The sequence below is a fragment of the Homo sapiens genome, chromosome 17 (genome assembly GCF_000001405.40).
Source record: "Homo sapiens chromosome 17, GRCh38.p14 Primary Assembly".
NCBI lineage: Eukaryota > Metazoa > Chordata > Mammalia > Primates > Hominidae > Homo > Homo sapiens.
In genome coordinates this window covers 15,241,333-15,257,129 of record NC_000017.11, presented here as the reverse complement: position 1 = coordinate 15,257,129, position 15,797 = coordinate 15,241,333, and the positions used below count along the sequence as shown (strand labels likewise).

The following is a 15,797-nucleotide window of genomic DNA, read 5'->3' as shown; positions in this document are numbered from 1 at the left end:
CATTTACAATGCCTCCTTAGTGTGGGTTTCAAATCTGCCTCGTTGCTTTCCGTGAGGACCCCAGAGTGTCTGTTTTCCACATCTCCCTTCTCAGCTCTCACAATCAGGGCATTTTGAAAACATCTGGACACTGCACCTGAACATGCTGGGTTTGTTTTCACGCCACTCAGGCTTAATCTAAATTTGAAATTTCCATTTACACTTCCCCAGTAGTGGTTATCTCTGCCGCTATCTTCCCCAACGTGGCAGCACTTGCTACGACTTCAGCCTTAAGTGGCGAATCCTCCAGGGCCTCTTTGATTGAGTTTAACAATTGTGGCTGCAGACAATAAGCTGAAAAAAATGTGTACTTTTTAAAACATTATACTGTCTTTACAAATGAACTATGCTCATTGCGAACCATTTAACTTGTCTGTATTTGCTCTTAGAAAGTATATTTGAAAAAAAATACTTGTTAAGTAATCAAAAGTAATTTGTTATTGACATCGATTTGTGAAGAATATGTTGCAAGTGTGAAAAAATAAATAGTGGTGCAATCTCGGCTGACTACAACCTCCACCTCCTGGGTTCAAGCGATTTTCCTGCCTCAGCCTCCCGAGTAGCTGGGATTATAGGCGCCCAACACCACGCCTGGCTAATTTTTGTATTTTTAGTAGAGAGGGGTTTCATCATGTTGGGCAGGCTGGTCTCGAACTCCTGACCTCAGGAGATCCACCCACCTCACCTCCCAAAGTGCTGGGATTAGAGGTGTGAGCCACTGCGCCATGTGACTTGGTATTTTTTTCTGAAAGGACTCATTTTTCTGGTGCATGACCATGACACTTCACCTCTCTCTGGGGGTTGCCACTCATGTTGTTTTCTACATGAATGGGGCCTCCTGGCATCGTGCCATGAGGCAGTCTAACATCTAGGTTGTGTAGTTTGAAAGAGACACACCAGATCTTGCCCCCAGGCTACATCTTAATATTAGAAATAGTTTTAGATTTTTAACTAACTGACTTTGACTCCGCCTGCCTTCTCGTTTTTCTAAATGTGTTTGTATACTTTCTGGCACCCCCTCCTTATCTGCCTCGTGTGGGCAGAGGTAAGAGAGGCTTAGTGTGGGGATATTCGTTATGATATTGTATCCAGTGCCTCTCCGGCCCAGGGAATACAAGGATCTGGAATGCATGGGCCTTGCCTTGATGGTCCCGAGCCTGGTCGAAGAGTCAGGAGATAGATATGGAAGGGTGAATCACTCCCTTGGAAGGCAGAGCAGGCCAGGTGCCCAAAGGGAGGCAGGCAGACAGCGTCTGAGTTCAGGGAGGAAGCGGATGGGAAATCTCTGGTGGGAGGTAGAATCTGATCCATCCTCCAAAGGATGGGCAGGATTTAAGTCAATACAGGCAACGGGGAGGAGAATATTCCCTGTGACCTAAGGTAAGGGTAGAACAAGGCAGGGGATGGGGTAGACTGGTTGGCTAGTGTTCTGGTTAGGATTAGGATTGATTGTGTATAAGAGAACATCTTCAAATGATAGGGGCTTAAGTAAGATCATTTATTTTTCTCTCTTTTCAAAGAAGTCTGGAAGTAGGTAGCCTGAGAGAGGTATGGAGGTTCCATGAAATTGTCAGAGATGCAGACACTTTCTAGCTCATTTCTTTGCCATCTCTTGGGTTTGGCTGTCATCTTCAGGAAACAAAAGGCTGCTAGAGCTCCAGCCATCTCATCCATGATTCAAGCAGTAGGGTGGAGAAAGGAGGTGGGGAAGAATGAATCTCCTTTTCTTTTAATGAAATGTGACATGGTCACACCTACACCTATTTACAAGAGAGGCTGAGAAATATAGTCATTCGGCCTTGGGGGAAGCATGGCTTTTCAAATCATAGAAACCTGGCAGCAAATACCTCTCTGTAAGCCTGGTGTGGAATACTTTCCTTGAGGGTTTGACCATCCCCTCCCATACCCAATCATACTCTTTTGCAATAGCTCAGTTGGGCCCTATGCAGTTCCATAAGTCCCAGTTATTTCAGCATTCTTCAAAGAGTCCATCTCTGCTGCATCCTGGGCTCTGTCAGCCACCCCACCATTCTCACATGGGCTCTTCTCAGAAACTTTAGGACCTGTTGAGGCTTCTCTCTCTCTATTTCTACCACCTCTCCAGGTATAAGTAAGTCTTATTATTATTATTGAGACAGAGTTTCACTCTTGTTGCCCAGGCTGGAGTTCAGTGGCGCCATCTTGGCTCACTGCAACCTCCGCTTCCCGGGTTCAAGCAATTCTCCTGCCTCAGCCTCCCGGGTAGCTGGGATTACAGGCATGCGCCACCACGCTTGGCTAATTTTTTGTATTTTTAGTAGAGACGGGCTTTCTCCATGTTGGTCAGGCTGGTCTCGAACTCCCGACCTCAGGTGATCCACCTGCCTCAGCCTCCCAAAGTGCTGAGATTACAAGCGTGAGCCACCATGCCTGGCCATCTTATTATTATTTAATGAGTCCAGACCTCTCTTCTGAATCCCAGACCTGTTTATCCAGCTGTCTCCTGGCCACTTCCCTTGGGATATCTAAGAGAGGCCCCCAAGTCACTAGGCCAGAGACAGTCCTTATCTTCCTCTGCCAATTCAACCCCTCTGTCACTTTCTAGTATTTTAGTGAATGCTGCTTCACCAGCCAGCAAGCCAAACATCTAGAGTCTGCCTTGACTTGACGCGTTTCCTTCTTTCTCTTCTCAGCATTGTCACGGGTCCCTCAGGCCACCCCATTGTTCCAATGCCTGTTGCCCACCTGTGGTCACGCTGCTTCCTCGTTTGTCAGAGGCGCCAGGGCAGCCTCCTAACTAGTTTGCCTGAACCCTTTCTTGCTCCTCTGTGACTCATTTTTCATATGGAATCCAGGCTGATATTTAAAAAAGCACAAACCTAATTATATCACTCCTCATTTTGAAACCTTTCAGAGGCCGTTCATTGGTCTTAATCTTCAGATGAAAATCTTTAACAAGGCCCATCGGAATCTACCTGAATGATCCACTCCTGCTTCTGTTAAGTCTCACCTCCCATCTCTCTTCCCCTCATCTTGGAATTTCAGCGTTTTCTCACGTCCTGAAATGTGAACTTCCCACTTCGGGAGTCTCTCCATTTCTCTTCTGATCTTTCATGCAGGACTATTTCTTGAACAACTCTCGTGTACCAGAGACTATTGCAGGTGCTAAGGTTACAAGAGTGAACAAGAGCTTATGTTTTACTGGACAAACCAGTCAGTAAACATGGAGAATTTGGGGGCAATGGTAAGAACTATATAAGACAGGGTAATGGGATAAAGAGGGATTGCAGTGGTGAAGGAAGGTCTCCTTGAGGAGTGGCCAGGAGCCAGCCATATGAACATCTCGGGGAGGTTCCATACAGAAGGACCGTCAAGTGCAAGATCGCTGGGGAGGGAAGGAGCTTGGCGTAGTTGAGGGACAGAGGGCAGGGCAGACTAGTGGGAACAGAGAGTGAGGGGTAAGTAGAATCACAGACCATCTCAAAGGTACCCCCCACCCCCACTAGGAAGGAGTTGGGTGCACATGGATGCATTTCTAATCTTTGTGATTTCCTTAGACCTGCTGTCTTCCACGGGTTTCTCAGTGGTCCATTTGATTCCAAGTTGGAGTGACAGTCCAGAAGCCTCTATAAGGCAGAATATATCAGAAATTGTACAAGGTAGAAATGCATCGGTATATTTTCAGTGATTATTTTGGGTGACGGGATTCTTATCACTTTGGCTGTTTTCTTTCTTTTGCTGCCTTACCTGTTTTCCTCATTGAGATCTTTTATTTTCACAATCAGAAAATAACTGTGAACATTTTATGTTAGAAAATTGGTTTTGAGTAGTAAGTAGGTTCCCTCTGCCTTGATTAAGAGAGTGGAGCCCTGGGGCATGGCACGCAGGGTCCATGGCGTCGCTTTGAATGAGGCCAGTTCCTGGAGCTTTAGTTTGCAAACTCATACAATCTGGAAGGCTCTGGTGAGGGGGAGGGGTGTGCCAAGCCTCCTCCCCAAGACCCTATGGGTGAGTTTAAAATCTACTGACCCAAAGGATTCAGGCAAAACATTTGCCCTGCTATTGAATGAACCAGTGCTTTTTGTTTTGAAGTCTCCAAGATCCAAATATCAAGTCCAAGTTCTCACAAGCATTCCCCTGCTTTTTGTTTAATTTGTGTGGACCTGACGTGTAGCAGAATGGGTCAGAATACTGGAATTAAGCCACAGGCGGCTTGGGAGCCCAAGAGCTAGAAGGGCACAGTCCTGGCTTGCCCTGGCCCCTGGCTGGTCTTCATCAGCTTCAGTGATGAGGCAGGACCCAGGCAGTTTGTCTTCAGTAAAATCTGTCTCTCAGGGCCTGTCCCTGCTCACAAAGTCCTCTCTTGTCTCAGAAGAAAAGGTAGTTGATAAACTTTTTCATGCTGAGGTGTTAGGCACAAAAAATGTGCCCCTTTTTGAATCACTTTTGTTTTTAAAAAGGAGGCCAGTGCTCAACACCAAAGCATGAAGGGAATTGTTGAGCTTTCCTGTAATCTGTCCCCAAACGTCCTTGGCCACCTCCATTGTCTAAGGGCAGTACCTGCAGCCCCTCATTTCCCAGTGACAACAGGTGGGTCTGCTCTGCCACAGTGTGTGGGCGGGACCAGCACCAGACGCTGAGAAGATGACCACTTACTACTCTTCTTTTCCATTTAAACAGCAGCAGCAGCAGCAGCAGCAGCAGCAGCAGCAGCAACAGCAAACTCATGACTATCAATAGGTTGTGTGAGGAATTAGATCAATGCTTTGGGTTGAAAATTAGAGAAACTAAATCTTGCCAGTCTCAGCAGCCCCCAACCTGAGCCCTTGGTGGTCTCCTATCATCGCTGTCTTCAAAACGATCCCAGACTTGTTTATCAATTTGGTGACACTGTCATTTTGGCAAGGACACCAGACAATTTCCTTGTCTGTGGCTCAGCTTTTGGCCAGATTTTAGAAAACACGGGAGACCTTCTGCATTTATGGGTTCATGTTTTACATTTTAAAATCTTCGTGGCTCCCTCAGCCAACCCATAATCTCTACCCAAGGAATGGCTCTGGATTTTACAGGCTCTTATGAGATGCTGAGACCCTGGTGGTACAAGGGAGGTACAGAGGACGGAATGTGTTGTCAACATGCCAGGATTTCAACCCTTAGGGTTTCTCTGATGCCAATACCCAGGAATTAGTATGAAATGTTTGTTTGAACCTGTGTCTGAACTGTATGACCTGGAATCTATAGTCTTTGCTTTAAAAAAACTTCAATTGTATCCCCAAGATTTCACCAGCACCAAGAAAACATCCCTTGCATTTCAGGAGCAGGGACTGGCCATGGTGCAGCCTGAGGTTGTGGATGTTGATCTTTGGTGCCCGAGAGAAGGCTGTCTGGGATGAAGCCTTCTGACTGTGGTCAGGTCCCTGCCAGTGCTGGGGGCCACATGAGTGTGCAGTCATCCACACACAAGTGGCCCCCAACACTGGCAGGGACCCGGAGTCATCTGGCCCATCCCTCCTTCCTATCCCATCGAGCCACAGACCCCTCTGCAATATGCCTACCACATGTTCATCCTACCACTGATGGGGAACTTATTACCTTCAAGAGAGCCTCTTTTGTTTTTGAAGAGCTAATAGTGAGATCCATTCATGTGTTCTTCAACTCTATTGAGCCTGTCCTATGTACTGGGCACTGTTCTAGAAATGGGGTGCACAGAGATGAACAAGAAAGAGCAGGTCCCTGCCATTGTGCAGCTCACAAGGAGTTGGAGGAAACAGGCAATACACAATACATGCATCACTATGGGTAGTGGAACATGCTCTGCAGGAAACAAATAGGGTGATCCAATGGAAAGTCATCACTGGAGGAATGAGCTGCTCAGGGAAGGCCTCTTCCTTCCATAGTGATGTGGTCTGAGATTTAGAAGACAGGGAAGGACCAGTTATAGGAAGAACCATGGGAAGAAAATTCTAGGAGGTAAAGGGAAGAACCAAGGCCCTGAGTTAGCTGAAGAAAGGAGGGTGGGGAATGCGGGAGAGAGGGATGGGAGCAGGATCGCTGGTGCCTCACAGGCTGTGGTACTGAGAAGGACAGTTGGGACATCATTGAAGGGTTTTAAGCAGAAGAGTGTCATGATTTGATTCATGTTTTGTAAGCTCATTCTGGCTGTTGAGAATGAATTCTGGGGAGAGGCAAGAGTGGAAACTGGGGACCAGTGAGGAGTTTGTGGTCATAGTCCAGACTGGACATGATGATGACACTGAGATGACAATGATGACAATGACAATGATGTTAAGAATACAAACAGCTCACGTAAGTGCCAGGCATTCTTTGAAAAGCAATGCATTTAATCCTCACAAGAACTCTAGGAGGTAGCTGGTGGCTTAGCTAGGGAGGGGAAGTAGAGAAGAAAACAGGTCTCATGACAGGGTTTGCTGATGGGTTAGATGTAGGGAGTTAGGGAAGAATGATTCTAGATGACTCTACGTTTTGGGCTTGAGCAACTGGTGTGTAACTGAATCTTGGACTGAGATGGGGAGACTGGAGGAGGAACAGAAGATTTGCGGGAAGGTGTAGAAATCAGGATTTATATTTTGACCATCAGAGAGGTCAGCAAATCACTTCAATTTAGAAGTCTTTGGCTTAGGGGAGAGGTCTGGGCTGGAAATTCAAAGTCAAGAGTCATTCCTCTATACCGAAGGGTATTCAATGTTGTGGTGCTGAATACAGTTACTTGGGGAGGAGTTGAGAGCAGAAGGCAGAAAAGGGGAACAGGGTTCAGAGCTAAGTCTTGGGCATGCCAGGGGTTAACGAGGGTACAGGAAGGAGAGGAGACTGGGGATGAACAGCCAGTGATGAGGGAGGAATGCCAGGAGATATTGTCACTTAAGAAATTACCTCGGCTGGGCGCGGTGGCTCACGCCTATAATCCCAGCACTTTGGGAGGCTGAGGCGGGCGGATTACAAGGTCAGGAGATTGAGACCATCCTGGCTAACACGGTGAAACCCTGTCTCTACTAAAAATACAAAACAAAATTAGCCGGGCGTGGTGGCCGGTGCCTGTAGTCCCAGCTACTCGGGAGGCTGAGGCAGGAGAATGGCGTGAACCCGGGAGGCGGAGCTTGCAGTGAGCCGAGATCGCACCACTGCACGCCAGCCTGAGCGACAGAGTGAGACTCCGTCTCAAAAAAAGAAATTACCTTGTTAAACCCAACACTGCCCCTCTTTTGTCCATTCACTTCTAGTTGCCTTCATTCATGCCTGATGTGCTGGACTTGGGTTTTATCAAGTTGCTTGGCACGTCCTTAAAGAATTTAAATCTCCACAGTGCCTCCTGGACAATGACTGCAGGGTGACCCCCGTCTCTCCTCTACACGATGACTCTTCAAACAGTTGACGATTGCAGTTTTTCTTTCCTTCCTTCTTTCAGTGGCTTCTCTGGTGCTGGTCCCAGCTGCATAAGCAGGGCCTCTTCTTGCCCTTCTGAAGTTTGGTCAGTGGTTTGGCTTGGCAGGCTGATGAGCAGAGAATAAGGGAAGCCGCTCTCTCTTTGCCACACCATTCTCCTTCCACCCTCTCTAGTTTTTGTGGATTCTAAGTCTGAAGAATGGTGGTAGAATAATTTAATTCATTAGATTGCAAGCATATCATTGACTTCTCTGCACCCCCAGTGTGTTGTAGTGGAAAAACTAGTAGTCTGGGCATCAGGGAATCCTTGTTTTTCTGCACCGGGTCTGCCTGTAACAAATTAGGTAACCTGGGGCAGGTACCCTGGTTTCCTAAAAGCAGAGCAGGCATTGAGGTAGGACCTGAAGTTGAGGTAGGACCTGCACATTGCATGGGTCCCGGAGCCTCTGTTCATGTTCAGGATGTAATTGTGGCATCGAGGGATCCTAAAAGGAGGTGGCCTCTGAGCTGGGCCTTGGCAATGGGGTAGAATTGCAGTAGGCAGAGGGAGCAGAGATGGGTTTTGTGCTTGTAAACGGGCATTGGTTTACTGTCACTGGTGGGGGTAGCAGCTCTTTTGTTCTAGCTCTTCATTTCCATAATGCGTGTTCTTTTTTCATACTTTAGGGGAAAGAAGGAGGAGAACTCTATTATTTCTATGGGGAGAATTCCTCCTAAACCTGAAGATCTTAAAACTAAGCGAATTATTCCCTGTTCATTCTCCACTGATGCAGTTCATGACTGCAATTGCAACTGCCTTTCCCGTCATTTTCTATGGCCAAACTCAGTGTTTTTAAGTGAGCTCTTCTTTTAAAAAACAAAAACAAAAACAAGTCTCCTGATAAATCCGTTTGAAAGACACTAAGTTTTGAAAGTTAAGCAGGCTTTGATCATTCATGGTACATTGTGAATTACCAAGGAGGGAGATTGATATCCTTCATCGTACAATGCACTCCCCTCCTTTTTCTTTTGTATCTGGTGGAGTAAGTCTTCCAAGAGCAATTCTTAGAGAAACAAAGCCTACTCTGTTTCCCTGTTTCTAGAGTTTTCCAACAAGGGTATAAAAAAGCCTCAGACAGCTTACTATTATCCAGTAACCTCAGGTACCTCAGTGGCTGCGTGTTATTCCCTTTAGAAGTCCAAAAACTCACTAGCAGAGCAAGAATATGGATGTCAAAGTGCAGAACTAGACCCTGACAAACTAGCTCTGTGCCTGCCACAAAGCCTCTTAATTAGGAATGCAGTTCATTGAATAACTGTATCAAAGTTAGCTGGAATACCTTGACATGAAGATTCCTTCCACTTACTGAGCAGTTTGTGCCCACTAGTGGCCAGACACAGGCTTTGCTCTAGCTAAAATACCCCCAGGATTACCTGTTGAGAGAGCCGCCCACGTCACCTTCATCGCCTTTGTGAGCTCCATGCTGGCACATAGTTGTCTCCATCTGTTTTGCTTTCCGCATGAATCATAGGCAAAGTTAGCCTGACCAGCAAGCCCATTTCAAAGCCACCAGCTGGGGGAGAAGTTGAAGCCCAGGGGGCAAGACCCACGCTGGGCTTTGGGCATGTTTGAGCTGGTGGGCGAAGCATATGGGCAAAGGCCACATTGTTTAGGATGGAGGCCTTTCAGAGACTCAGCTATTTCTGGAATGACATTCATACTGAGAAATAAGGAAAATGGCGATCTGTGTGATGGTTGTGGGTTGGGAGGTTTGGGCGTGGGAGTCCTGGTCTTGGGGTCATGTGTTTTGAAAACAGTCTAGCACTATGCAAATGGGAGGTGTTAATAACTCTTTGCCTCTGTGATTTACCCTCTCATGGCTTTTTCTCTCTTGGCCTCTCCAAGGTCTCTTCTGACTCTTGCAACTGTCCTTCCTTTCACTTTCAACAAAACCTGTTCTCTTGAGTCAGAACAGTTTTATGAATTGCCCAGAGTGGGACTTGATATGGGGCAGGGTTGGTTCCATGCTGGTAATGAAAGATGCACATAAACTGTTACATTGAAAAGTGCTTCATACTTTCTGAGCCCTTAACTCACTAGGTTGTAGGCCCTGGGCTAAGAATATAGCTGAGGGGGCTGATGTATTTCCTTCATTGCTCAGCTGCTCCTACAGCAGGAATCTGACCTTGAAATGAGCTTTGATCTTTGTGCAACTCGAGCTTCCCACTATCTGCTGGGGGAGCTAGGTCTGGGTGCTGCCACGGCCCATGTCAGAAAGCTGTCAGCAGCTCTTATACCGGACACTCTCAGAACAGGAGGCCTGCAAAGAGCTTTAGCTTTAGTTTTGTTGTTGTTGTTGTTTTTGAGACAGTCTCGCTCTGTCGCCCAGGCTGGAGTGCAGTGGCGCCATCTCGGCTCACTGCAAGCTCCACCTCCCGGGTTCACACCATTCTCCTGCCTCAGCCTCCCAAGTAGTTGGGACTACAGGTGCCCGCCACCACGCCCAGCTAATTTTTTGTATTTTTAGTAGAGACGAGGTTTCACCGTGTTAGCCAGGATGGTCTCAATCTCCTGACCTCGTGATCCACCCGCCTTGGCCTCCCAAAGTGCTGGGATTACAGGTGTGAGCCACGGCGCCCGGCCTTTTTTTTTTTTTTTTTTTTGAGACGAGTCTTGCTCTGTTTCCAGGCTGGAGTGCAGTGGTGTGATCTCGGCTCACTGCAGTCTCCGCCTTCCGGGTTCAAGTGATTCTCCTGCTCCAGCCTCCCAAATAGCTGGGATTACAGGCACATGCCACCACACCCAGCTAATTTTTGTATTTTTAGTAGAGACGGGGTTTCACCATGTTGGCCAGTATGATCTCGATCTCCTGACCTTGTGATCCACCCGCTTTGGCCTCCCAAAGTGCTGGGATTACAGGCATGAGCCACCACGCCCGGCCAGAGCTTTAGTTTTTAATTCCAGTGCTCAGCACCAAGGTTGGATATTGGCTTAAAACTTCCACTGGAAACTCCACAAATGTTTAGCAGGCCTCCACTTTGCACCAGGAACTGAGTGTGGCCTGGAGGACAGCAGGTACTCAACATAAGTTCTACTATTTATTGCATACTTGCAAATTGGGTGGGGCGTGGGGAAGAGTATCGCCACACTGGGGCTTGTGTTAATCTATAGTTTAGCCACTTGGGATGTTGGTGTCACACTAGGTTTGATCTAAATAGAACAGGTTTGTAATTGACAGCATTTTCACTTGCATTATATTTCTCTGAACTCGAATCATTATTTTCTGTACAGCTGACTTGTTTTGCTGTAGCAGAGTTTGGCAGATAATAGCTTGCATGTCGAATCCAACCTGCTTTTGTAAATAAGATTTTATTGGATAAATGGCTATTGAAGGAATGGGTCACACCCACTCATTTACATCTTGTCCATGGCTATGGCTGATTTTGTGATACAAAGGCAGAATTGAGTAGTTGTTAAGAAGACCGTATGACCTGCAAAGCCTAAAGTATTTGCTCTCTGATTCTTTATAGATAGTTTGCTATCTGTGCAGATATTTGCACTCTGACTCTGTAGCACCCTTATGCTGGAGAGGAGATATGAATTGATACCAAAGTTGTATCAAAACACTTTTGGAGTTCTGGCCAATGTGCTAATAACCTGGCTTGTGTGAACATTGTGGCTCTCATTTTCTTTTTTCTTTTTTTTTTTTTTGAGACGAGTCTTGCTCTGTCGCCCAGGCTGGAGTGCAGTGGCGCAGTGGCGCGATCTCGGCTCACTGCAAGCTCCGCCTCCAGGGTTCACGCCATTCTCCTGCCTCAGCCTCCAGAGTAGCTGGGACTACAGGCGCCCGCCACCACGCCCGGCTAATTTTTTTTTTTTTGTATTTTTAGTAGAGACGGGTTTTCACTGTGTTAGCCAGCATGGTCTCGATCTCCTGACCTCGTGATCTGCCCTCCTGGGCCTCCCAAGTGCTGGGATTACAGGCGTGACCCACTGCGCCCGGCCTGTGGCTCCCATTTTCATACTGCTTGGTGTGACCCAGATGGAAATGCTCCAGAACCTGGCCCCTCAATAACAGCCTGTAAATGCTTGTTTACCCTGTTTTCTCACATCAGCCTTTTAGGTGGGGTTATTTGCACTATCCTTTAACAGCGCTTCAATAACAACTCTTTTGTTTGATCATTATGACAACCCAATAAAATATATTAGTGCCTCAAGTACGTAAAGCAGAATTCAAGGCCAAAAAAATGTATGTGGCAAGTTAGGTGGGCGGTCAGAAGAACTTGGCAACAGAGCCCAGCCCTGCCTGGGCTGTCCTAACCAGAGCACATAAATGCTGGAGAGAGTCAGGCTTTGCACGTGCTCACACGGGACCCTTACCTTGGACAGGATCAAAGCCCTGTCATTTCTGGAGTGTGTGATATCTGCTGTCTCTTACTGCGCTGGTTGTTACCTGTCTATTCCAGTTCTGATGAATGGCTCTGATTGGGGAGCAGCATCATCTGAGCTTAGAAATGTCCTCAGGGCCCTGTGGGGTTCCCTTTGAGCAACAACGAGAGCTCTTGAATCTTGCACCAGCCTTTTGGAGCTGGAATGGAGTTTGCTTTCTCCTGGGCTGGGCTCTGTTTTTTTTCCTCTCGCTGTCCTTGTGTAGCTTTTGATCAATGGCACTGGAGGAAAGGAAAATCCCTTGTTGTTTTCCTGGGCATGTGGAAGCCCAGTCCTGCCCAGAATTCCACTAGCCCTTTGAGTTTTGGAATCCTGACTCTTAGTAAGTCAATAGAGTGCTGCATCTGTTTTTACCTTTGTAATCTTTTAAATTGGTTTTAATTATTTAAGTAATACAAGTATTATAATACATGAAAATATCCTCAACTGAAAGGCTTCTTGACCAAACTCTTCTTCGTTGCAACAGTAGTTCCTGGGGGAACCCACTGACATCAATTTGACACAACTTTGGCTCTTTCTCTACGAATATTTGCATGCCTGTGGATGTCTATACGCAATTACATAGTTTTTTGGTGTTTGTTTTCATAATGATGACATGTTGTGTGTGCACCTTACTCTTTTCATTGTCTTGGAGACCTTTCAAAGACTCTTCATTTTCTAACTCATGATTTTTTTAACTGCTGCAAAATATTTCATTGTGAGGATATACCATAATTTATTTTCCCTCATAGAAATGCTACAATCAATGTCCTTATTTATTTTCCTCTGAGTATATGTTCACTGTTTTTCCAGGATATAGTAGATAAGCACTTGAACACATATAGTGTCATTACGCTAGAGGTGTTACAATTTTTAAACTACTTTTAATGGCAAAAATTACAATTACTTTTGTATCAACCTAATATATTCTGCCACAAAATGGCTGGTCACAAAAGGATTATAATAATAATATTATTATTATTCCTGTGAATGGTGTCTGCAGGTAGCTATCACTTATTTGTTCTGCTGATATTATCCATTTTTTTTGAATTTTGCCTATTGGCTGGATGAAAATTGGTGTCACCCTCCTCATGGGTTTCTCTTGCATTTCCTTGGTTGCTAGTGAGGTTGGGCACCTTTTACGATGTTTATTGGCTGTTCATATTTCTCCTTTGCTAATCACATGGCTTTTCAATTTTATACTTAGCTGTTTTCTCTTTGTTCTGTCTGTAATTTAATTTTGTTAATGATGCGAACTAGAGATTTAATTTTATGTTTTACCAAATGAATAGCCAACACTATGTATTGTCTGTTGTATTTTTCCCCACTGGTTTATATGATGTTGTGTATTATCTACCAAATTTACATGTATGCTTCCAAAGTCTTATTCCATCCCATTCTTTTATTTTTCTTTCATGATTAACACCATATTTTTGAATTGCTAAAACTTTATAATATAAATATAAGCTTTGTATGTCTATAAATAAAATACATTTTATTAATTATAATTATATGTTATATAATTATAATATAAGCACTTGAACATATATACTTCTATAATTATATATTATATAATTATATATCATACTTCTATGATATGTTCTATAATTATATATTGTATATATCATAGTTCTATGATATGTTCTATAATTATATATTATAAAGTTACAATTAATTGTATATTTAATTTATACCATATACTGTAATAAGCAAAATATAGAAATATGTTTTAAATCTGGTAGGTGGTATCTTGACTCATTGGTTTTATATGTTTTTCTGATTTTCTTTTTGTTCATTTGTTCGTTTTGGTTTTTAGTTGCTGTTGTGTTTACTTCAAATTTTTTCTTATCTGTCATTGCTCATTGTTTTTTAGATGAATTTTTAATTGATTTTTTTCCAGTTCCAGTTGCAATATGGATTAGGACAGCATTGAATTTGTAGATTATTTTGGATGAAATTGGCATCTTTATAACTTTGAGTGTTTCTATCCAGGAACTTAGTATGTTTCTTTAGTACTTCTTTTATGTACTTGAATAAAATTTGTCTAACTTGTTGATGTATCCCCAAAGAACCAGACATTTTTATTAAATGTATTTTAATATTTTTTTCTGTCTCATTAGTCTGTGCTTTTATCCATATTAAGTCAATTAATTTTTGGACTTATTTCATTGTTTTTTTTCTGGCTTCTTGAGTTGAAAGTGTAGTTCACTCTTTTTAAGGATTTTTCTAGCAAATGCTTAGAAGTGTATACATTGTCCTCTGAGAACTGCTTTGGTTACAACCCACAGGTGTGCCATGTGGCTCTCTATATAATTCCTTGCTGAAGAAGTTTTTACTTTTCATCTTGTTTTTTTTAATCCGAGGAATTATCTGGAACACTGTTTTTAAATTTCCAAATTTATTTTGGCTAGTTTGTTTTTAATGTCTAATTTCTGTTTGCCTTTAGGTATATGTTGAGCCTACATCATTTCTGCTTCTATATTTATTGAGATATTCTTTGTTGCCCTTATAGTCAGTTTGAAAAGCTGTCCCATGTGTGTTTGAAAATAACTTTGCTATATAGACACAAGTTTTCTATACATCTATTAGGACAGATTTGTTAATCCTCTTATGTAATCTATATTCTTTCTTCTTTTTGGTCTACCTGACATCTATTTTGAGGAAGGAAGCTAAAGTCTTCTACTGTTATTGTGATTTTAACAATTTCTTCTCATATTTTGATTACTTTTTGATTTTAACTTTTTCAGGCCATGTTATTATATGCATAATGATTTATTTTCTTCAGTCATAGATCATGTAAACCAGAAGTAAAGATCAAATAAACCAAATCTTTCCTCTATGAAACAACCAAACAACTCTCTGGCCACTTTTATCCTTTCAACATAAGTTCTATTTTTTATTATTAATTTATCTTCTTTCTTTTTTGTTAACATTTGCCTGAAGCTTCTTTTCAGAATCTTTTTTGTTTTTGACTGTTGCTTGTTTTAGGTGTATCTATTATATTAGAATATAGCTACAATGTCTCTCTTTTTTTTTTTTTTTTTTTTTTTTGAGACAGAGTCTCTCTCTGTGCCCAGGCTGGAGTGCAGTGGTGTGATCTTGGCTCACTACAACCTCCACCTCCTGAGTTCAAGCGATTCTCTGCCTCAACCTCCCAAGTAGCTGGGACTATAGGTGTCCACCAGCACACCTGGCCAATTTTTTTGTATTTTTCGTAGAGATGGGGTTTTGGCATGTTGGCCAGGCTGGTCTTGAACTCCTGGCCTCAAGTGATCTACCTGCCTCAGCCTCCCAAAATGTCTTAATCAAAGATAAAATTCCATATCTTATGAGTGCCTTGAACCCATTCACATATAATGTGGTTGATGATAGACTTACTATCTTAATGCATGTGTTTTATTTATTGTGCTTATGGTTGAAAACCATCTTCTTCATCTCTGGATCATCAGAGTCAACCAGAGGGCTTGGCTCAAAGCAGTAGGTATTCAACAAATGCTCATTGAATAAAAATGTCCTTGATCCTCTAATTCTGATTTGATTCGAGAAATAACTTATGGCAAAGAGCTCAATTGTAATGGGGTTGGGACTAAAATTCAAGTTAATGTTGAAAGATGTTTCAAGAAGTATTTAGGTTATATTATTAAATATTAGACACTTTCTGTTTATATAGATTTAACATATAAAGATTTTAAGTTTTCTGTGTATGTGAGGTCTCGTAGTAGTTTCTGCTGAAAATGACAGGGGCGCGGGGTTAAGGGTGAAGACAGTATCTCAGGATTGGAGAAGGAAATCTAAGATATTGTCTCCACCAGCCATACTCCTCATGAACATGCACATGGAAGGACATTTCCCAGCCAAAGTGAATCCCTTTATTTGTTTTAGTTTCAGATTTGAGTCTCAGATTTCTTTGTAATTCCAGCTGCATCTACCAAAGTGCTAGATAATTTTTTTATTTTAAGCAAACAATATT

At 43.5% G+C, this 15,797-nt stretch overlaps 1 protein-coding gene and 1 non-coding gene across 11 annotated transcripts in view; both read left to right on the top strand.

Moving 5' to 3' along the window:
• Positions 1-15,797, top strand: part of PMP22 (peripheral myelin protein 22) — a 35,548-nt gene that overhangs the window by 8,197 nt on the left and 11,554 nt on the right. The gene's annotated exons all lie outside the window — the stretch shown is intronic.
• On the top strand, positions 5,434-5,503 carry MIR4731 (microRNA 4731). The gene has a single exon (NR_039884.1). It is a non-coding gene; the product is annotated as a microRNA 4731 (primary transcript).